The sequence below is a fragment of the Homo sapiens genome, chromosome 6, assembly GCF_000001405.40.
Source record: "Homo sapiens chromosome 6, GRCh38.p14 Primary Assembly".
NCBI classification, from domain to species: domain Eukaryota; kingdom Metazoa; phylum Chordata; class Mammalia; order Primates; family Hominidae; genus Homo; species Homo sapiens.
The window spans coordinates 150,711,009-150,734,528 of record NC_000006.12 but is presented as its reverse complement, the minus strand read 5'-3'; the positions used below and the strand labels follow the sequence as shown (position 1 = coordinate 150,734,528).

Sequence of the window (23,520 nt, the reverse complement as noted above, 5' to 3'; positions counted from 1 at the left end):
TTCACGTCTCAGTAGTTTTGGAAGCTCCCGGATGCCAGTAGCGAGTGGTGATTAAGGTAAGGACAGCTGAGGGGTTTAGTCATACACCTGACACTCATGCTCCAGGAGACTTGAGTCCTCCTCCATCCTTATCTGCCCCACTGCGTGTGAGTCACTCTGACATCTGGGGTGTAGGATTTATTAACACAGCATCTTGGTATGGGTACTGTATCATCATTCTTGCTCCTCACTCATAACTAATTTGTTAACGCAAATATTAAGAGGATGTTAACACAGTGGGTTACGGCCTTAGGGTTTCTCTTATTACTCTCTCTTTAAACATTCACATCCCTTCCGCCTCTTAGAAGACATCCCCTACACCTGGCTTGGCTTTGTCATTTCTTTTGCAAGCATATTTCTCCTGCATGGCAAACATTAAAAGCGAAGTCGGTCTTACCTCTACGATGCTTTTTAAATCTTGTACATAAGTCCTTTCGGTTTCCAGAATTTCCTGAACAACTCTATCCACATAGAGGAGCTTGGGGCTCGTGGCCGAGTCTGCGATCGTCTTGGGTGCCCCGTTTGAGTCCACTCTCCACTGCGCTCTGGGTGGCCTTTCGCTGCCCTCATCCGCGTTCTGTTGCCCCGTGGCGGGGTTGTCCCTCTGCAGCTCGCTGCTGGAAAACGGCCTGGCAGGAATCAGCTCCAGTTTTATGGCCCCTACCTCCTTATCCTGGTTAAACAAGCCCATGTGGCTATTTGAAACTAAGGTCATTCTGCTGCCGAAGGAACCATGGCTGTCGCGGGAAGAGGCCGAGGATGATGTGGAACCGAAGCTGACGGGTCGGTCACTATCAGAGAGCTCCATTGTCTTCAGTTCTTGAGGGCAGGAACGCCTGGCTGTCGTCTTGGGATGTGGAACTTTGGTTACAGCTGATGGCACTTCAAGACGCAACTGGTGCCCATCTATATGCATTAAAGAAAATAAAAAGGACAAGATAAGCAATTCTATCAAGCAGAGGGTTGAAAGGAAGTAAAAACCTAGCTCAAATAAATACAGTCAATAACAAGGTGGCCAATTACAGAAGGGATGCAAAGGTACCTGTGGTGGAGTGAGATGCAAAATCAGTGTTTCTGAAGCATCATCTGGGTGCCTGTTAGAAATGTGGTGTCTCGGGCTCTGACCTCGACCTGCTGAACTTGAGTGTGCACTTTAATAAAATCCCAGAATGACTTAGAAGCATTAAAGTTTGAGAAACACTAGACCTGTTGTCTCAAAAGTGTGACCACCTGGAATGACTCATATGCAAATCAGTCTAGATTCACTAAATTAAAGGCTGAGCGGTCAGGGCACCAGGAATTGATCACTTTAACAAGCACCACAAGTGGTTCTTAACGAACTTAAAAGGGACCCGACGTGATTCCTACGGAATTTTGAAAAACCTTGATCTAGATTTTAAGTATTTCACCATAATTCCACAAAATTTTAGGCTAGCATCCTGGAGCCACCACTACTTGATTTAAATAATGCTGGCAACTTTACATTTTACTTGCATACAGCATTAAAGAAAGTGTCACATAGACAATAATTTTCTAATACTAGGCAAGAAAAAGATAGAGTCATACACAGCATAATGATGTTTCAGTCAACAATGAACTGCAGACTGGGCGTGGTGGCTCACGCCTGTAAATCCCAGCACTTTGGGAGGCTGGGGTGGGCAGATCACTTGAGGCCAGGCGTTTGAGACAAGCCTGGCCAACATGGCAAAACCGTGTCGCTACTAAAAAACACAAAAATTAGCTACTCGGGAAGCTGACGCACAAGAATTGCTTGAACCCGGGAGGCAGAGGTTGCAGTGAGCCGAGATCCTGCCACTGAACTCCAGCCTGGGCGACAGAGCAAGACTTTATCTCAAAACAAAACAACAAACAGCATGTATGACAGTGGTCAGAGCAATCTGCCATCTCGTCTAGCCTAGATGTGTAAAGGGCTATGCCATATAGGTTTGTGATTATACTCTGTGATGTTCATACAATGATGAAGTTGCCCGACAACATGTCTCAGAATGTGCCCTCATGCTGAAGTGATGCATGACTGAATTATTAAGACTCACACCCCATTGAAAACTTATCCTCTCAACACAGCACTTCTCCAGATCACTTCTTAGAAACTGGCATTCCATTTGTGGCATATATGGAGTTATGATACTATTAGAGAGCATGCTTGATTAACTACAACTCTCCACAAGTACAGTTATAAAATCATGTAATTATATGACGCATATAGGAACTAAATTATAAGAACAATTATGAGAAAATGGCACTGTCTGTTTAGAAAAGGCCAAAAATAAAAACTATCTGCAAAGTCAAAAGGTCACTTAATGGTGAAACCTCGTCTCTACTAAAAAAAATACAAAAAAATTAGCTAGGCGTGGTGGCGGGTGCCTGTAGTCCCAGCTACTCGGGAGGCTGAGGCAGGAGAATGGCGTGAACCCGGGAGGCGGAGCTTGCAGTGAGCCGAGATCGCGCCACTGCACTCCAGACTGGGCGACAGAGAGAGAGTCCGTCTCAAAAAAAAAAAAAAAAAGTCACTTAATACCCACAGCATTTAAATATGATGTTGGGCCCCAAAAGGACCCATGTGAAAATTAAACATTCAGAAGCTATTTGGGTAAAACACTCAAAATTCCAATCTTCCTCATTTCTAAGGCAGGGTCAACATTTCTCCCTCAAATAACGAGATTCCACATCTCATTATTTCATAGAGAAATTGTGTTTATAGAAACAAAATGTCTTGTGATAGAGAAGGTGATTAATAAAGAAATTTGCTTAATTTTGCTAGGTTACCTTACCACAAAAACATGCTTACAGGTTTTACTAGAAAAATGGAAGAGGGAAACTTATGTTTGGAAGGTTATAATGTGACAAACACAGTAAAAAGAATACATAGTAATGATCATTTTTCAATAGTAATGTAAATTTGGTTTGATTCTATAATAAAGATCACTAAACAGTTGGTACTAATATTTTTAGAATATAAAGTATCCAACAAGTCTCTCCTTCAACATACCTAGTTTATATTCATGACAAGTATTAGTACAAACAAATGATGCAAATATTAAAGTTATGAAAATAAAATGAAGGAACTAATTCCGAGTCAAGAAGGAGTGGTAAGACATGTAGGAAATGAGCAGTTTATCTGCATAACCACTACCACATGCTAGAGTTTGCCACACATTTTTAAAGCTTTTGCAATATTCTTTCTGCTTGTTCTATAACAACTTTATGGCCTATAAAACATGAATTGGTTATAGTAGTTAAGATGCACTTGACCTAGAAAGCCTGATCCAACTTGGGTGCGGCAAAAATCCAATCAGCAGCCGTGCATTTAGGTATGCTTGCAGCAAAGGATGCTTACTCACGTTTGGGACTGGTGTTGAGAAAGTCATGGCAGTCCAAAGTAGGGGTGGACACAACAAGGTTTCCTTTCCATTCGCACCCTCCATAACCTAGACCATCAGGTTGATCTCACTGTAGGAAATGGGCACTCACTTGGGAAGTATCTGAGGATATTTTGAGATCCCAAGGGTCCAATGAGGCTATGATTTGGGACTAAACATAAGTTGAATATGTTCTTTTTTTTTTTTTGAGACAGAGTTTGCTCTTGTCACCCAGGCTGGAGTGCAATGGTATGATCTCAGCTCATTGCAACCTCCGCCTCCCAGGTTCAAGCGATCTCCTGCCTCAGCCTACCTAGTAGCTGGGATTATAGGCATGTGCCACCACGCCCAGCTAATTTTTATATTTTTAGTAGAGACGGGGTTTCACCACGTTGGCCAGGCTGGTCTCGAACTCCTGACCGCAGGTGATCCACCCACCTCGGCCTCCCAAAGTGTTGGGTTTATAGGTGTGAGCCACTGCCTCTGGCCAAGTTGGATATTCTCTATAACAGGGGTGCGGTACCGGTCCACGGCCTGTCAGGAACCAAGCAGCACAGCAGGAAGTGAGCGATGGGCAAGCGAGCATTGCTGCCTGGGCTCTGCCTCCTTTCAGATCAGCAGCAGCATTAGATTCTCATAGGAGCACGAGCCCTATTGTGACCTATGCATGCCAGGGATCTAGGTTGCACGATCCTTATGAGAATCTAATTCCTGATGATCCGAGGTGGAACCGTTTCATCCTGAAAGCATCCCCACTCCCCCACCCCCACACCCCCACCACCTCAACCCACCCTTCATCCTTTGAAAAATTGTCTACCATGAAACCAGTCCCTGGTGTCAAAAAAGTTGAAAGGCCAAGACATCTGGAAAGGTCTACCCCCTACAGATCTGCACATACTGTCTCTAGGGCAAGTTCTGATTTTGTAACCGGAGAAGAATCTATCTCTCCAGAATAGAAAACTGTTTTTCACACAGTTACAAAACTCTTGGCACTACATTGATGATCAGGACTAGAGAAAAATGGACACAACAGAGAGACACATTATTTTCTTATCATCATTTCTTTTCTCTACTTACTTTCACTTTATATTAGATACCCAATATTGGGACAGAAGGATTAAAGAGGAATAAAAACTGCTTTTAGAGGATCCTAGGTTGGGCTGCTAGAAATGACAATGTCTTTAGAAATACTTTCAAAGGTGGGAAAGAGTGGAATATAAAACTCAGATCAATAGGGACCCCTTCATGGATAGATCTTAAATAGCAACATGGAGGGGGCACCGCTGCGGGGAAAGCTTCAAATGTTCCAATGCCAGTCCACGTACAGGCCTGGCTGCCAACCAGGCATTTTCTAAAATAGACCATTTCAGAAGTTTGGTGTCCGTAGCATTTAGCCAAGCTTACCACCCCAAACTAAAGACCTTCCAAAATTACCAATGACAGAAGTGAAACATTTAAAGTCAGGTCATATAATGGCACGTAATATGAGACCACACTTGCTAATGGCTAACATTTTTTATGTTGATTCATTGCTTAGAAGATAATTATAGTTTCCTCACGTAGGAAAATGCACCTCATAAAAACTGTCTAGTCTTGTTCTCACTTTCCTCAAAATAATTTAAGATTTCCACCCTGTCTGGCCTATTCTAATGCAACTCACCAATTATTAACATTTATCTCTAGAGCTGTGTTGCTCCACACAGTAACCAGTGGCCACATGTGGCTACTGAGAACTTGAAACGCAGCCAGGCTGGGCACAGTGGCTCATGCCTGTAATTCCAGCACTTTGGGAGGCTGAGGCAGGCGGATCACTTGAGCTCAGGAGTTCGAGACTAGCCTGGGCAACCTAGTAAAACCCCATCTCAAATACAAAAAATACAAAAAATTAGCCAGGTGTGACGGCCTGTGCCTGTAGTCCCAGCTACTTGGAGTCAAGGCTGTGGTAAGCCATGATTGTGCCACTGCACTGCAGCCTGGGTGGCAAAGTGAGACCTTGACCCTAAATAAATAAATAAACAAACAAACACAGTCAGTCTGAATTGAGATGTAAGATACACACCAGATTTCAGTAACTTAGTATAAAACTAAAAACATGAAATAAAATACCTCATTAATAATTTTTGTATTTGTGTATTGAAATAATATTTTGGATTAGGTTAAATATCTCACTGAGATTATTTTCACTGGTTTCATTTTACTTTTTTTTCTTTTTTGAGACAGAGTTTTGCTCTTGTTGCCCAGGCTGGAGTGCAATGGTGCAATCTCGGCTCACTGCAACCTCCACCTCCTGGGTTCAAGCAATTCTCCTGCCTCAGCCTCCTGAGTAGCTGGGATTACAGGCGCCCGCCACCATGCCTGGCTAATTTTTGTACTTTTAGTAGAGATGGGGTTTCACCATGTTGGCCAGGCTGGTCTCGAACTCCTGACCTCGTGATCTACCCGCCTTGGCCTCCCAAAGTGCTGGGATTACAGGTGTGAGCCACTGAGCCCGGCCTACTTTTTTTATTTTAAATTTATTCTTATTTTTATTTTTTGAAACAGGGTCTCACTCTGTCACCCAGGCTGGAGTGCAGTGGCACAATCATGGCTCACTCCTGGGTTCAAGCCATCCTCCCACCTCAGCCTCCCAAATAGCTGGGACCACGCCACCATACCAAGCTAATTTTATTTTTAATTTTTCTAGAGATGAAGTCTTTCTATGTTGCCCAGGCTGGTCTTGAACTCCTGGGCTCAAGTGATCCTCCCATCTTGGCCTCCCAAAGTGCTGAGATTATAGGTGTAAGCCACTGCCCCGGCATCATTTTACTTTTTTATACTGTTGCTACTAGAAAATAAAAAATTACATAAGTAGTTCATATATATTTTAGTCAGACAATGCTGATCTAGAAGTCTTTGATATAATTACATTATTCTTGAAGATTTAAATTTACCTCTTTATCAATCTTTGTTCAAATAATAGTGAATGCAGAGATACATACAACTCAAAGTTTGCATTTTTGTTTTTTACTCCACTTATTAATGCACAATATTGTTAAAAATTAGCAAAAATAGAGTTGGGAGGTCATCTCTGTGTAGCAGATACTGGGCTAACTGATTTTCCCTGACAAACTGAAACATCCAGATAAAAATCTGTAGGGCAAGAAAGCTTTTTCACTTGCCTTGAGTGAAAGATGTTAGCAGGTTGTATTAGCATTTGGGTAAGTTGCTGCTTTTCTTCTCATAACTTCTGTCTATTCCAAAATCCCAAGCACAGGGCCAACAATGTAAGAATTTCTGGGAATTTCTGGCCAAACCTTGCGAATGGCTTATATCAGGTATATCTTTTGACCCTAAAATAAGCTGGTTCCACCCACTTAGAGGATTGTGATCAATCTCACCTTTGGTAAACCTGGAGGTGGTGGGGGTGGAAGTATCCATAGAGGAACCTTAGAGACTTACTGAGTCGCACAATGAAAAGCACTGGTTAGCCTAAAAGCCAACCAAATAAAATATTCTTTTTTTTTTTGTGCCATCCTTAATAAAAGGAAAAGATGCCTAGACAGCTTCTATGTAGCTAGACTTTCATACTTTTTACTTCATGACAAATCCCTCTAATTTTTTCTGGGTGAAAACATTGGAATTCCATGGCTTTTCCTTCTTTGCTCTTCCAACTTCCATTATTTTAATTGCTCTCTTTTGGAATATCACTGCCAGAATCAAAAGCAATGCTTCTTGGCTCTGGTTTCTTAGGCTGATTTAGGTTTCATGCAGAACGTTCCATGGCTTCCTGTGACCATATTTACATGGAGAACGGGGACATCTGATGGGTCCTACAACCTACAACTCCCAAGGAGAAACTTAGGAGGCAAGACAGAAATTCTACTCACAGCAGGGATTGAGGGGTGATCAGGGTTTCCAAATTCTGCTCATTGCTATTCTAGACATCAAATACCTAGTCTGAGTTCCTTGGCAGGACAACCATGGAAATCAAGAGAATGTGCTGTGTTCAGTACCAATGAGTAGCTGAAATTATGTAGTTCCTTATTACACCTCCTGTGAATTACTCAAAGAGGGGAGGCCACAGAAAGACTAAAGTATACAGAAATAGTTACTCTACCAGTTAGTGATGTTCGTTTAATATACAGCGCAGTTTTGTTAGAGCCTCAACGTTGTAAACAACTGACTTAATGCTTTAAAAAATGTTTAAGAGTCCAAGTTAAAAAATATACATTTATATATTTCAAAGATGACACTAGGTATTTGAGGAGCATCTTTTATTCCCTCACAGCAATATGGATTTTCACTTCTTGGTTTTCTAAACTATCAACTTGATTCCTGTTTAATGGTAGGGCCAGGACTAGAATTCCTCATGTTCTCTAGTGTTCAGCATGTTAAATTCAGGGAACATGATTTTCATATTTATTTGTAGTTATTTGGTGATGAAGGAACCAAGGAGTGAAAAAAAAATCTTGTTACCCTGTTAATTTCTTAGTTTTACCATGTAAATCTATTAGTCTTTAACCAAGGTTAAATAAGTTTTAAACAAGGTACTACAATTACACAAGATGTTAATGTTAGGGGAAGCTGGATGAAAGACATATGGGAACTTTGCACAATCTTTGCAACTTTTTTATACATTTAAAAAATTTTCAAAATAAATAGCTCAAAAATGTTTTAAATTAAAAAATGTATTTTATTGGGGTATGATTAAATAGAAAAAGTTATACATATTTAATGTATAAAACTTGAATCTGGAGATAAGTATACATGTGAAACTATCACCACAATCTATACCATGAACATAGCCATCACCTCCAAAAGTTTTCTTATGCCTCTTTATTATTATTAAACATTTTACAATAACAATACTTAAGATCTACCTCCTTAGCAGTATTTTAAGTATACAATATAGTATTGTTAGCTATAGGCACTATGCTGTGCAGATTTTTTGGACTTACTCATCTTGCATAGCTGAAAATTTGTATCCTTTCACTATTACCTCCCTGTTTCTCCCTCTCCCCACTCCCTGGCAAGCACCACTCTAGTCTTTTCTTGTATGAGTTTGATTATTTTACATTCTTCGTAAGAGTGGTGTCAGGTGGCATTTGCCCTTCTATGTCCAGTTCATTTCACTTAGCACAATAGGCTCCAGGTTCATCCATCTTGTCACAAGTGGCAGGATTTCCTTCTTTTTTTTATGGTCACATAATTTTCCCATTATGTGTATGTGCCACATGTTCTTATATCACATGCAAAAAGAATAAAAATGAACCCTTATCTTATAGTATACACAAACATAAACTCAAAATACATTAAGACCTAAAAATATGACTAGAAACCATAAAGCCTCTAAGAAAAAAAAAGAAAAAAAAAACATAGGGGAGAAAAGCTTCATGACACTGGTCTTGGCAATGATTTTTTGGATGTGACACCAAAAGCACAGGCAACAACAGCAAAAAGCAAAAACAGACAAGTGAGACTACATCAAACTAGAAAGCTTCTGCACAGCAAAGGAAATCATCAACTGAGCAAGGAGATAACCTACAGAATGGGAGAAAATATTTGCAAACCATGCATCCAACAAGGCGTTAAAGCACATATTTGTACAAGAAGATCAAGAATGAGAAAAGATATTTTGCAAAAATATTTTCATTCAAACAGGAGGTGAGGGGTTGAACGAAGAGGAACAAAGATTCCTTCAAGCTGTAAAGTCAGATACTAAATACTCAGATAATTTACCGATTGATTCCTATATTAATTGCTATGGTATGAATGTCTGTGCCCTTCTCAAAATTCATATGTTGAAACTTACTCACCAAGGTGATGGTATTAGGAGGGGGGGCTGTTGGGAGATGATTAGGTCATGAGGGCTCTACCCTCATGAATGAGATTAATGCCCTTATAAAAGAGGACAGAGGGAGCTTGTTTGCTCCTTCTGCCATGTGAGGATACACAGGAGGGCACCATCTAGGAGGAACAGGCCCTCACCAGACACACAATCTGTTGGCGCCTTGATCCTGGACTTCCCACTCTCTGGAACTGTGAGCAATCAATTTCTGTTCCTTGTAAGTCACCCAGTTTAAGCTATTTTGTTACAGCAGCATAAATGGACTAAGACACTAGTCAATGGAAACTAAGAGGTATAATGGCTACCTCAGTTGAGTAGGGATTAAGCATCTACTTAAGGCAGCTAATGCATTAGATAAATTGCCTTAGCTAAGGGGTGTCTCTGGAGCAGTCTGGTGAAAAAGAACCTAAAGAAATTCCCTAGGCCAGGCGCGGTGGCCCATGCCTATAATCCTGGCACTTTGGAAGGCAGAGGCAGGTGAATCACCTGAGGTCAGGAGTTTGAGACCAGCCTGGCCAACATGATGAAACCCCCGTCTCTACTAAAAATACAAAAATTAGCCAGGCGTAGTGGCAGGTGCATGTAATCCCAGCTACTTGGGAGGCTGAGGCAGGAGAATCACTTGAACCTGGGGAGTGGAGGTTGCAGTGAGCCGAGATCACACCACTTCACTCCAGCCTGGGTGACAGACTGAAACTCCATCTCAAAAAAAAAAAAAAAAAAAGAAAAAGAAAAAAGAAAAGAAAGAAATTCTCTAAAGGCTTTTTATGCAAATGCAGCTGTTTTTACTTTTGTTGTATGCTTTTTTTGTGTGTGGTGACTTAGTGTGGGGGATGAAGGAAATTATTTGGGGCACCCAGAACCATCCACTGTGTTACCACTCAGAGAGGGACTGTTAGTTGTCTACCAAAATCCACTCTACCCTTTTCTTTAGTGATGGAGTTTTCACTGAGCACATTTCCCAGCCTCCTCTGCCTTTAGATATTGGCCATGTGGTCAAGTTCTCACCAGTAGAAACGATATATGCCCCTTTGGGAGTCTATTTCTCAAGACATTAGATTTTATTACTCCACATTCTTTCCTCTTCATGCTGGAACCCAGATGTGGCAGAAACCTTGCCTCCACTCTAAGAAGGATACCAGTGCCCTAGGGTATGGCAGAGCACAAAGACAGGCAAAACCTTGCAGTCACTGGTGCTAGACATGCCCTGAGGCACCACATTTAAAAGTCTGGTTATCCTGACTCTGCCACACCACAGAAACCACATGATGAGACCGCAGTGATACACAGAGGGATGCCCAAGGAACCCTGGCTGTTACAGCCCCTGCTGTGTTTCCAGCCAAGACATTGGACATGTGGATGAGAAGCCTTTCAGATGACCCCAGCCCTGTCATGTCTGAGTACAATTTTATGACGGTCCCCAAGCCAGAATCACCTAGCACAGCCTTTCCTGAATTCTTGCCTCACAGAACCCTTGAGCTATTATAAATGTTTGTTGTTTCAAGCCATTAGGTTCCAGTGTGATTGGTTAAGCAATAAGAGAGAACCCAAACAGTCTCTATTATAACAGGTGAGCCTTATTATGATACAGCTGCTACAATTCTATGTCAAAATTATCCTTAAAAAGCCCCCAAAACCAACCTCAATGCTCTTTCATGTGTCTCATTACTTTTTGAAAACTGTATAGATGGGGAAAAAAAAGCAGAGATTATATAACATCATGCTCAAAGTTGAACTATGAATCAGAGACTAGATTTTCTAACTTCTAGTCCATCCTTCCTTGTACTCATAAAATAGTAGGGTAGAAAAGGAACTTAGAGATCAGGAAATGAAGGACTCAACATAAGCTGCTTGTCTAAAGCACATGGTACCATATGCCAAAAGGGACTACACAGTGTGTGGCTATGTGTGCACAGGAATGCATATATCCACAACCCTCTGTATAAACACATTTCAGAGAACCAACCGGAAATTAAATTATGTCCTAATACTCCCTTTTGGTCAGAGGATTTGCATGTTTGCCCTGGCTCTGCACCCCCCGGGGTTTGTACTGATCTTTGCATCTCTGGTTTCCTTGTATGTGAGGCAGCTGGACTAGGTGACTTCTCCAAGTCTCATCCAATCTTTGGGCCATGACTCCAATCCTGAAAACCCAGCAAACCACTGGCTGTCACGACTGCACGGCCTCTTCCCAGCTGGAGGCACAGCACAAGCAGTGGCCCTCTAATAGCAGTTTCTTCTACATCCTACGAATGCCAGGTCTTGGATGATGAAAAACTGTGTATCACCGAGTTTTTCAAAGGCTAAAAAAATCTCTATTTGTAATTTAGATTAAATAATAATCTATGCTCCAGCTTTGCTTTGAACAGTACCTTCCTGTTAGTGTAAAATTATCAGTCTCAAGGCAGTAACTAAACAGTGATGGTTATATATACAAGCTCCATCTGTATGGAACGCACTCAGTTCCAAAACATCCCTGCACAGCTGGGAGGGAGGCACCAAGAGAAATAACATTTTCTTAAAGAAAAAGGAGGAGGAAGAAGAGGCAAATTCCAAGTGACTAACAATAGCACTCCAAACAAATAAATCCATGAAGTACATTAGACATGTTCTTTTAAAAAAGGAGGAAGAGGCAGGGCGCAGTGGCTCACGCCTGTAATCCCAGCACTTTGGGAGCCCAAGGCGGGCGGATCACAAGGTCAGGAGTTTGAGACCAGCCTGGCTAACATGGTGAAACCCTGTCTCTACTAAAAATACAAAAATTAGCCGGGCATGGTGGCGCGTGCCTGTAATCCCAGCTACTCAGGAAACTATGGCAGGAGAATCGCTTGAACCCAGGAAGTGGAGGTTGCAGTGAGCCAAGATCGTGCCACTGCACTCCAGCCTGGGTGACAGAGCGAGACTCAGTCTCAAAAAAAAAAAAAAAAAAAAAAGAAAAGAAAAAGAAAAAAGAAAAGGAGGCAGAGAAATTAAAGTGACTAGTAACAGAGATCCAAGTAAATAAAGCCATTTAGAAGGTACAATGTAAAATGATTAAATGTCACGTCTTCTCAAATCTTTAAAAGTATAGAAAATGGTCATAATATACAGTGAGTAAAATGGGTAGTTTAAAAAACATATAATACGATCCTAATTTTGAATTTAAAATGCGGCTTCTTTATTGTCTACATTAGAAATAGATTGAAGGAATATATAATAAAATGTTAACATCGGTTTTACTGAGTAAAACGAATAATTTTGTTCCTTTCATATTTCTCTGTAAATATCTCTTCTTCAATAGCTGTATTACTTTTATAATCTGAAAAAGTTATTTAAGGAAATTAAAATCACAATGTCAATTGGTGTCAGATATCTAAATATTTTAAATTAAAATAATTTTTATATTCAATATGTGATTAAGGAATGCTGAATATAAATATCTTTCAAAATGCATCATTAAATTCAAATAATGAAGCCAAATGAAATCAGATTCCAATGGACAACGGCATTGAATACAATCCACGCCTCCTTTGCCCCAATCATTGTTCCTCACAAAAGTGTTTCTTACCGAGAAACACTCAAAATGGAAACTGCATTTTCTTAGGCAACTTTGGTTGCCACTAGACTCAGACTAAACTTCATCACTGCAGTTGCTAAGCATACATTTGCAAACATTTATTTTGTTCCTCCAACTTTGACTGCATATGAACCTCAAAAAGAAAGCATATGAAAATGTTGGGCATTCGGCGCGTGACAACTGAGGATTTTAGAGTTCTCCCCAGAGTCAGATACATCAGCTCTCTAGATATTTCAACCTCACTTTAAGGAAAGAGCAAAATCAGATGAAACTAAGACAAAAACTATTGAAGACAGGCTGCAGTTCAGATGGAGGGGGAGAAAAAAATCATCTTCCAGACTTCAGTCTATCGCATTTGTAACAGAGAGTTTTCCTTGATCCAGCCAAGCTTCCGTCCCTGCACACTTGTGAAGAAAGCCCCCCCTGCGACCCCTTCTCACCTCGGTGGACCTCTCTGGCTGCTCCCAGAGGGAAGGAGCGTTTGTTCCTGCATCCTTTCTTTGGGGACACTCACATTAGCACCTACCTCTGCTCCACTCAGGCTTAAGCACATCGTCTGCCTTCAGCTGATGCAGTGACCTCAGTCAGGTAAAAGAAACAGCCTTTGCTAGTCTGTGCAGCGCCTTCCGTAGAAATATTGCATGAGTCAGCTTTTATCTCCCAAACCCAACACACAAAGGCTTTACAAAAACCTGATTTGCAACTTTCTCACTGCCTTTTTCCCCCTAGTGTGCAGACCACAGACTTCAGCATCACTAAGAGCCTTAAATGAAACATGACATCATTCAATTGAGAAACAGGACAATAGACACCACTGTGGGTAACTCGAAAATGCACACTTCACTGAGCAACACCCTACCACTTCCATTCTTTTGTGAACATCAAATACAACCCACACTCGCCCAAAGCTGCTGGGTTTCACCTTCCTGGCTCTGGCCACAGTTCTCATTAAACTCCATAAAATAAGCAAGATCTTTGGAGCTCTGAAATTTTTAAGTTCACTTCCTGAATCATGGGCTTGTTTCAAAGTAAAGGGACACATCTTTTCACTTTCAAAGTAAACGGACACATCTTTAAACTGAAGTTTTAAAATGCAGGTTGGGGTGGGGGTGGGGTGTGAATAACAGCCAGTGGAAGGCAGTTTGGATAATTAGTTTCTGTTAACAAGACACTTGATAGAATTTTAGGTGAACAAAGTTTAAGGAGAAAACATTTAAGGCTGACATTTAAAAAACATTTAAAAAGCGTATCTGAAGACAAATACCTAAAATTGGTATGTACATGCATTTCTTTGGAGAACAGTTAAGTTCTGTGATTATATATTCATAAATACTAAGTAGTAAAGACAGAATGATCTAGTATTCATACAATACTTTAGTAAGTGAGACCTTCCAATTATTTTGGGTTTTTGATTTCTCTAAGACCACCAGTCCTTCTTAAAATGCTATATCTATTTTTATAGAAAGATTCAGAAGGCGTATATTTGACAAAGATCTTGAGTTCTTTAAACGAAGGTCTCCAGAAGCACAAAAATGCTATTGAAAACTGATACCACTGCACTGTGGAACTCAAATTCAAAATATGGATTATGTCTTTGCATAGACATCTAAAACTGAACTATTTCAAAGGATGAAAACCCTTTAAATAGAAGTTCCATTTAAAGCATTCATTTGTGGTTATGGAAAACACCACTAGCAGATCATTCTTAACATAGCTATTTCTGTCATGCCTATTAAGTGATTTTAAACTAACAACATAATAGGATAATTTGTTTTAATGCTGATTTCCTTTCAAATCAGGCTGAACCTACACATGGCTATTTAAATAAGTGATTTTTAAAGGAAATAGTTCAGAAGACAACTTGTTGGAATTTCTCACAAAATTCACCAGTTTGATGGAAATCAGTAAATCCAGCATGCTGAGAAGGCAGTTTGAGAGGCAGGGTCCTCCCTGGGCTGTGGAGACTCTTCATCCTCTATTCTGGCCTCCACAGCAACCCCTGTGGCTTCCCACATCATGTCTGTGTCTCCCATACCAGTGCCTAAGCTGGGCTCTTCCCTCCTGCTCAACGAAGAGCCAGCTCACATCAAGCTCCCGTTTGATCTGCTACAACCACTCCAACCCACAGCTCTTTCCATTACTTTAACAGCTGTTTATTACACTTAGAGTAAGGATCATGTGGTCTCATATTTAATCGTTTTCTAAGTGTCTCACTCCTACCCTGCATGGTAGCTGTTGGGGGCAGGGAACCTTCCTATACCATAGATTTGATATTCTCGAGGCAGACACAAAGCTCTAAACTCTTAGATGGGATAAAATACACAGAGGTTCTAGGCTTCCTAATGACTCATCCATCGTGCACAGCCTCAGATCACAACACAGCTACTTTTAACTTCCAATAAAATTACATTGTACTTGGATTTTTTTTTTTGCTTTTTGCCAAGAAACATGTTTCTAAAGTGCTATTTCTGAGAGATTCCATGTATGTTAAACGTAAACAAAGACAGCAAAGTTGCTGTGTGTGTGGATGGTGGGCAGTTTGCTAAGCTTACCCACCAGAAAAGTGACAGTCCTGAAGGACAGCTTTGAAGTGACAGCGGGGGCCATATTGGGTCCTATGGGACAGTCATTTATTAGTTCATCCGCGGTTTCTGCTTTAGCAAAATCATCAACTTGTGTAAGTAAAGACCTCTCCTATAACTTGCAAATAAGTGAAAGCACCTAAACTGCATCTACAAATATCAAAGATTTAAAGTATGTTGAATTTCATTTTTTAAATATTAAGCTTTTTCAGAGCAGGGAATACACACACACACAAACACATTTTTTTTTTTTTGCCTTTATATTGATCCTAGTACCAAGTATTTGCTTGAATAAATTAACCAATGGATAGCGCATGAGGCCTGGGGAGGGATAATACATTCACATACTAGCAGGAAGGAAAAGAAAAGGGAAGAAAGGCCAGGCGCGGTGGCTTACGCCTATAATCCCAGCACTTTGGGAAGCCAAGGCAGGTGGATCACGAGGTCAGAAGTTCGAGACTAGCCTGACCAACATGATGAAACCTCGTCTCTACTAAAAACACAAAAATTAGCCAGACGTGGTGGTGCATGCCTATAATCCCAGCTACTCGGGAGGCTGAGGCAGGAGAATCACTTGAACCAGGGAGGTGGAGGTTGTAGTGAGCCGAGATCGTGCCTCTGCACTCCAGTCTGGGTGACAGAGTGACACTCTGTCTCAAAAAAAAAAAAAAAAAAGTAAAGGGAAGAAACACCTCCATTTATTGAGCAATGGTCCAGGTTCTTTCACACCTGAGAGCAGAGGCGCCTTCTACACTTCAGTATTTTCTTAAGACCCTGGTTTCTCCCCATTTAGCTCTGCAGTGGTTCTGCGTTCCAGTGCTCCCCACCACATATTCCACATGCTGGACACACTGAACCGTTAACATTTCTTGGAGGTGCGCTGCTGGTTTGCCACCAGGCTTTTGTTCATGCAGGGAAAATGAACAATCTTAAGACACACAAAAGGCACAGATGCTGGTATCCTTGCCACTTTTTGCTGTATAATTTATTTGCCCATACTAACACTGGGTGAAAAGATTATTTTTGCTCAGCAACATTTAATTTTTTATCTAATTAATTTATTTTTTTGAGACAGAATCTCGCTCTGTCACCCAGCCTGGATGCAGTGTCACTATCTCGGCCTACTGCAACCTCTGCCTCCCAGGTTCAAGCGATCCTGCCACCTCAGCCTCCTGAGTAGCTGGGACTACAGGTGTGCACCACCACACCCAGCTAATTTTTTTGTATTTTTAGTACAGACAGGGTTTCCCCATATTGTCGAGGCGGGTCTCCAACTCCTGATCTCAGGTGATCTGCCCTCCTCGGCCTCCCAAAGTGCTGGGATTACAGGTGTGAGCCACTGTGCCTAGCCCAAAATGTCTTTTTAAATGATAGAGTGGCCACAGATAAAATGCACACGCGTGCCTTGTTAGGTGATAAAGATACCCTTGCTGGAAAGCAGCTTTGTTTACTCCCTGCAAGCACGGGTTACACAACCAGGAAGTTCGCATTCCATTCCCAGTGTCCCCACCTGGAGTGGGGAATCAAGGCGCAGAAGAGCAGCACCCACAGGACGTAACTATAGCAACCAGAACACAAACCAGCCAGCAAGGAGGTGCAGGTGGCCTTCTGGCCTAATTGAAGGAAGACCAGAAAGTCCCTGCCACTTAAAAAAATCCCTTCCCAGGCCGGGCGTGGTGGGTCATGTCTGTAATTCCAGCACTTTGGGAGGCTGAGATGGAAGGAAGGATCACTTGAGGCCAGAAGTTCGAGACCAGAGTGAGCAACTTAACGAGACTCCATCTCTACAAAAAAGACAAAATTTAGGCCAGGTGTGGTGGCTCATGCCTGTAATCCCAGCACTTTGGGAGGCTGAGGTGGGCGGATTACTTGAGGTCAGAAGTTCAAGACCAGCCTACCCAACATGGTAAAACTCAGAATCTACTAAAAAAAAAAAAATACAAAAATTAGCCAGGCGTGGTGGCACATGTCTGTAGTTCCAGCTATTTGGGAGGCTGAGGCAGGGGAATCATTTGAACCTGGAAGGCAGAGGCTGCAGTGAGCCAAAACTGCACCACTGCACTCCAGCCTGGGCAACAGAGTAAGAGTCTGTCTTAAAAACATAAATCAATAAATGAATACAAAACTTAGCTGGGCAGGGTGGTGTATGTCCATAGTACTAGTTACTTGGGAGGCTGAGGTCGGAGCATGGCTTGAGCCCAGGAGTTTGAGACTGCAGTGAGCTAGGATCGCACCACCGCACTCCAGCCTGGGTGACAGAGCAAGAGCCTGTCTCAAACAAAAACAAAAAAATCCCTTCCCAGAAGTCTGCCATAGGGCCTGGAATTCCAAATCTTTTTGGTTTAAGGTAAAAGTTGTCAGTTAAAACCCTGATCTCCTCTGGGAAGGGCGAAGGAGCCACTGCCACAGTAGTGTGAATTAGCTTCACCATCCTTCCAAGGAACTATCCAGGTTTTCTGGGAATGAGACCACAATGGGGCTGTCTAGGAGGGCTGGGGTGGGGATGAGGGCAGGAAGCACAGACAACACACACATCTAGGGACTCAGCAAGGCCTGAGCTAGTTGAGGCACCTTGCTGAACTGTGCAGCCAGGCAACAGCTCAAAAAGCTGGGCAAGGAAGAAGGAAAGGGCGGCCCAGAGACAGGAAGACGGATGGGCAAAGGCATGCAGACATTTTTGGGTTCAAGGAAATATTTTGCTTCATATAATCAACATTGGATAAGGCAGGTTTAGAAAATAATCTTAGACTTTCATATGCAAAGGTGCTAGAAGTGAGAAGGGGTATTTGAAAACACAAATAGTATTTTACACAAGGAGCGTAACAATTTAAACCCTGGAGGAGGTGTGGCCTACTTATCTTGTAATTTAAGATCTTGCCATTGTGGAACATTTTTCATGGAAAATGGCAAAACCAACCATTTTTGGAAGCACAGGCCATTGACAAAAGACTCTTAATGTATTTTTAGTCTATTAGAAGTTTTTTCTTTGAAAGAACAAGGCATGCGGTCACATTTTCTTTTCTTTTTTTTTTTTTTTGAGACGGAGTCTCGCTCTGTCGCCCAGGCTGGAGTGCAGTGGCGCGATCTCGGCTCACTGCAAGCTCCGCCTCCCGGGTTCACGCCATTCTCCTGCCTCAGCCTCCCGAGTAGCTGGGACTACAGGCGCCCGCCACCACGCCCGGCTAATTTTTTGTATTTTTAGTAGAGACGGGGTTTCACCGTGTTAGCCAGGATGGTCTCGATCTCCTGACCTCGTGATCCGCCCGCCTCTGCCTCCCAAAGTGCTGGGATTACAGGCGTGAGCCACCGCGCCCGGCCGCGGCCACATTTTCTATGAGCACATGACAGCATAAATGTGAGGGGCCAGGCATGGTGGCTCACGCCTGTAATCCCAGCACTTTGGGAGGCTGAGCAGGTGGATCACCTGAGGTCAGGAGTTCGAGACCAGCCTACATGGCAAAACCCTGTCTCTCCTAAAAATACAAAACAATTAGCTGGGCGTGGTGGCGCATGCCTGTAATCCCAGTTACTCGGGAGACTGAGGCAGGAGAATCACTTGAACTCAGGCGGCAGAAGTTGCAGTGAGCCGAGATCATGCCACTGCACTCCAGCCTGGGCCACAGAGCAAGATTCCGTCTCAAAAAAAAAAAAAAAGAAAAAGAAAAAAAATAGTGATGAACGTTAAAGTCAATTGCACGCCAAAAGGTGTCACACTTCCGCACTGAAGTCCCTCAGAAGAACACGCTGACCTTCCTCCTGTAAATAAGAGCTAACGTACTAACACCATTCTGCATTGCAGCTGCTGTGATTTATTAAAAATCTATACACATTCTTCCAGACTGTCTACTCTAAACCCGGAAAATATCACCAACTACAAATTCCACCTTGCTATTGTTATACAAACCAAATTACATACTTGTTCAAACAAACAAAAAAGCTAACTTCTTTTTTTAAAAAAAATTATTTCTAAAGGCCTTTTTTCAAAGTGAAATAATTTTAGTGGCAAGTGAGTTTGTTTTCACAAATTTAAAAAATACCTGTCAGTAGGCCAGGCATGGTGGCTCATGCCTGTAATTCTACCACTTTGGGAGGCTGAGGTGGGTGGATCATTTGGGGCCAGGAGTTCGAGACCAGCCTGGCCAACAGTCTCTACTAAAAACACAAAAAATTAGCTGGGCAATGGTGGTGCACGCCTGTAGTCCCAGCTACTTGGGAGGCTGAGGCACGAGAATCACTTGAACCTGGGAGGTGGAGGTTGCAGTGAGCTGAGATGGCACCACTGCACTCCAGCCTGGGCGACAGAGTGAGACTGTCTCAAAAAAAAAGAAAAAAATTCTGTCAGCAAAAGACATAGGTCTAAAGCAGACAAAAGCACTCAAGTATAGAAGAAATTAAATGAAGCCATTTTTCGTTAGTCCTGGGGTACTGAATCTAACAATAGAAACCAAACTAGAAATACTAAATAGTTACCAGGACTTCAGTCATCCAACTGAAAATGTAGTTTCTCAGCCCCTACTGAACTAAATGTCAGTATTGAGGCATGGTCCTAAGAATTTTAGAAAACAAATGAACAAACAAAGCCTATTATTCACCACACTGTTGTGCATGGCCTGCCTTTCCCTTGCAACCAAGTTATGATTTGACATCTCCATCGTATACCTTTCAACAGTCGGCCATGACATGAACTGAGATGGCCTTGAAGGGCACACGTTCCAGACTCTAAAATCTTGCTGTTTCAAGCATTCCTCCCTGGGTTCATTTTTCTGCTTCTGTGACAATCATTAGCTCAATTTGTCACTCCTTTCTTTGATTAGGATACTTGGTTTTTATTTCCCAGAGACAATACAGTCAAGTCTTAGTTATTTTTGAACAATTTTTAGATATCAAGCAAGCAAATATGTTGCAAAAAGCCTCTTGCTTTCGATAATCTATCAGTCCCATCTCTAAGGACACCATCGGAGGACTGGCTGTGCTCAGCACAATGAACTAATTATCCCTGGAAGAATGCAGTAGGCTTCCAGACACATTTTTCTCCAGGAGATAACACACATCTAATCCATTCATAAGTAAAGGCATTCAACACAATCTATACTTTTGAAACACTCTAAAAAATGTACTGGAAGAAAAGGCTTGGGAGCTCTGTTGAAATCTTACAGCAGTACGTATTTTCCAAAATACCAATTAAAACAAGATTCTCTTATAGTTTCAGAGTAACAGCCATTGAGACTTAAATCACCTTTACGGAGGCTTGCAAAGGAATTTCTCATCCTGGCAGAGGAGAGAGGCAAACTCCAGTTGCTAGCCTTTCCTCCTCTTTTCTGGACACAAACCCACAGCTGCAATGGAATGAAGGAGAGGGCTCAGCTCCACCTTGCCAACTGCCCCCCACCCCTTCCCATAGACCCAGGGGTAGTAGGTTGAGAGACAATTCTCAAGAGCAGCAGAGGAGGGAGTGTAGCTTGCAGGGGAGACACAGAGAAGCTTCTGGGAGCAAACAGGAATCAATCTCCGAACTGGCTCAAACTCCCACACCTGACCCTCAGCAATTACCATCCTTGGGGTCATCACAATCAGTCTTCTTCCCCCACTCCTAAGGCTACGTTCAACATCATAAGGTTGACAGCTTAACCTCTAAGAAGTAAGACCTGTGAGCAAATGATTTATCTCAGGGGAGCCCATATGCTTTCTAGAACTGACGTGGGTGGTTTGCACTGATATTCACTTGGTCTCCTGTACCAAGTCATGGGAACAATCCCATTGACGGAGATATTTATAAAGGCCAAATATAGATTCCACCCCAGGAAATCAGAACTCACTTCTCTCTAAATGAGTTGAGATGACTTACTACTTTCCAGGATTTTTTTTTTCAACTAAAGAAGGCAATGAAGGCCACTGACCTTAGTATATCAGTATTACAATGGCCTTAAATACCCCTCTGTTGCCACAAAGTTCTGAACTTCGAGGCACAGAGCAACATCCTGCTGATCTTTCTTCCTTCACAAAACCTTCTCTCCACTTGAACTGGCAATCACCTCTTACTCGCCCTCATGTACCAGGACCTACTGATCAGGCCCCATGCTGGGCGCAGTGAATGGACATGGGCTTTAAGTTTCAAACAAAAAATGACAAGTATGATGAGTGCTGTGAAGCAGCGTGGGACGTTGCCGATGTAAACTACCAACAATTGTGTACATAAGCATTTGCACTATTTTCCTAAATTCTCTTTCCCCTTAGTTTCAAACTGTCCTTCAATTAAAATTAAAAGTGGATAGCAACTTTATGTTGACAGTAAAATCAAGCTACATTAGGCTGCCTTCACTTATGGTTCACTTTCTAATCTTAGAGAATAAGCCCAGTCGGACTCATCTTTCATCTTATGTTTAATTACTTGGTATCCAAGCTGACAGCCAAACTTGCTGAAAGTTTTTGAGAGTCTAAACACTTGCCTAATTCCCAGTTCCCACAGAGGTACATGAAGTAACTTGTTTATGTTAACAGAACAAAGGAAAGGAAAGAGAGCTCTGTTCCACTGCAGGTTGAATGGGAATTAGGTCAAGAAACAAGTGTAACCAAACTTATTTCTGTTTATTCTGAATAAACATTACTGAATCCTTTACAAGTAAATGAAAGAAGAGAAAAAGGAAGAGGAAGAAGCTAAAATATGAAGACTGGTGGTTTGATCTCTACATTTTCTTTAATGAATATGTATTATTTGTGTGGTTAAAATATAAGAAGAACAGAATGAATTTACATGGCAGGTCTTGTTCCTGCCACACCCCCAGCCCAATCTTTCCCAGTCTTGCTTTGTCTAAAGGTCTGCACACTCCGCTCCCTGCCTGGCTGCCTTCCAGGTAGGTTTGGCTAGAGGCATCAATAGTTTGAAGCAGAAAGAGAGGGAAATAGGGGCATTTCCTCCACTCCCTCATTGATTTGGGGCAGCTCCTCCATGGTTCCAGCCTTTCTTGCGCTCCCTTAACTCTATGTTGTCCCCGATCCCTCAGGGATCCCTATAGATTGTCCCAAAAGCAGTGGCTAAGGCTTCCCACTGTTGTCGTCTCTCTTTGCTTCACATACACCCTTCGTTTGAACCAGCTGAGCTAATTCAGTTTCTTGCCAGGTCCCCGGCTGATGCAATGTCACACTAACTCCAGAATCATTGGTCTAAAATGGTGATAGCAGTTTGACTTCATATGCAGTCAGAATACTGGCCTGAGTTTTTTACACGGTGATACAATGCCAAATTGTAGCCCCGTTTTGACTTATGGCCTGCTTGATCCAGGTCAATGAAATAAACACTTAATTAGAGCCTATCTTATACCAGAAAAATATTGTGAATTTGATATCTGCTGATATATTCAATTACTTAATATTTATTGAGCAGCTACTATGTTCCAGGCACTGTCTTGGGCACTAAAGACACAAGAGTGAACAAAACAGATAAACACCCCTGCCTTTATGACACTTATTTTCTAGGGGGAGCTGCATGGACTAAAAATAATCCTATGATAACAGCATGTCAACATTGCAAAGATACTCTGGGGCTTTCTAATCCAGTGTTTCAATTAACACTTACAACATCTCACCAAGTGTGTCCAGTGTCTGCTTAGATACTGTTAGTTACCAGACATCCCATCCCTGCACAAATCATCGATCATACCCTGGAGTTCTTTAAAGACCCCTTTAGGAAAATACAAGAGAAATCACACCTCACCTCCATTTTGTAGTTCCTTAATTATTTGAGCTGTCCTATCAGTTTCCCATATTTATTTGCATCTTTGTTCAACTACTGATGGAATACCTAACTGAAGGGATTCCTGGAGGCAGGGTTCAGTGATGGGGAGCGGTGCAGGGAGGTCAAAGGGGAGAGCTGCCCCTTGTGGCTGTGGGGCGCATAGGGTAGAGCGGACTTAACACTGTCACCACCCTATGATCACCTTCTCCTTGTATGTCAAGAACATACTTTCCTACTGCTTCCACCAAAGTGGCTTCAGAATTTTAAGTCCTCATGCCAACTTACTATTAAAAAACGTTAAAAAGACATCATTTTTGGAGAACATCCTCTGGGAAATAAATATTCTCCCCACTCCTCCCAAGTCAGACTTTCAGGTACATCAACATCGCTGCGTCCTCAAAAGG

At 42.1% G+C, this 23,520-nt stretch overlaps 1 protein-coding gene across 10 annotated transcripts in view, besides 2 other annotated features; it reads right to left on the bottom strand.

Annotated features, from left to right (window-relative positions):
* Window positions 1-23,520, bottom strand: part of PLEKHG1 (pleckstrin homology and RhoGEF domain containing G1) — a 243,781-nt gene that overhangs the window by 109,137 nt on the left and 111,124 nt on the right. For 6 of the 10 annotated variants that reach the window (NM_001329804.2, NM_001029884.3, NM_001329805.2 and 3 more), the window contains one exon: window positions 437-945. In NM_001329804.2, the coding sequence (NP_001316733.1) occupies window positions 437-847 (411 nt within the window). In that variant the 5' untranslated portion in view covers window positions 848-945. Of the gene's footprint in view, window positions 1-436; window positions 946-13,328; window positions 13,431-23,520 lie in introns of those variants that run through there. The other 4 variants (NM_001329801.2, NM_001329806.2, NM_001329802.2 and 1 more) reach the window with 1 other exon arrangement.
* Window positions 16,173-16,948: an enhancer, noted in NCBI's record as "H3K4me1 hESC enhancer chr6:151038717-151039492 (GRCh37/hg19 assembly coordinates)". NCBI's record gives its function as "activates a minimal SCP1, AML or CMV promoter by ChIP-STARR-seq in naive H9 embryonic stem cells {active_cell/tissue: H9 hESC(naive)}" and the evidence as "EXISTENCE:reporter gene assay evidence [ECO:0000049][PMID:30033119]".
* Window positions 16,949-17,724: an enhancer, noted in NCBI's record as "H3K27ac-H3K4me1 hESC enhancer chr6:151037941-151038716 (GRCh37/hg19 assembly coordinates)". NCBI's record gives its function as "activates a minimal SCP1, AML or CMV promoter by ChIP-STARR-seq in naive H9 embryonic stem cells {active_cell/tissue: H9 hESC(naive)}" and the evidence as "EXISTENCE:reporter gene assay evidence [ECO:0000049][PMID:30033119]".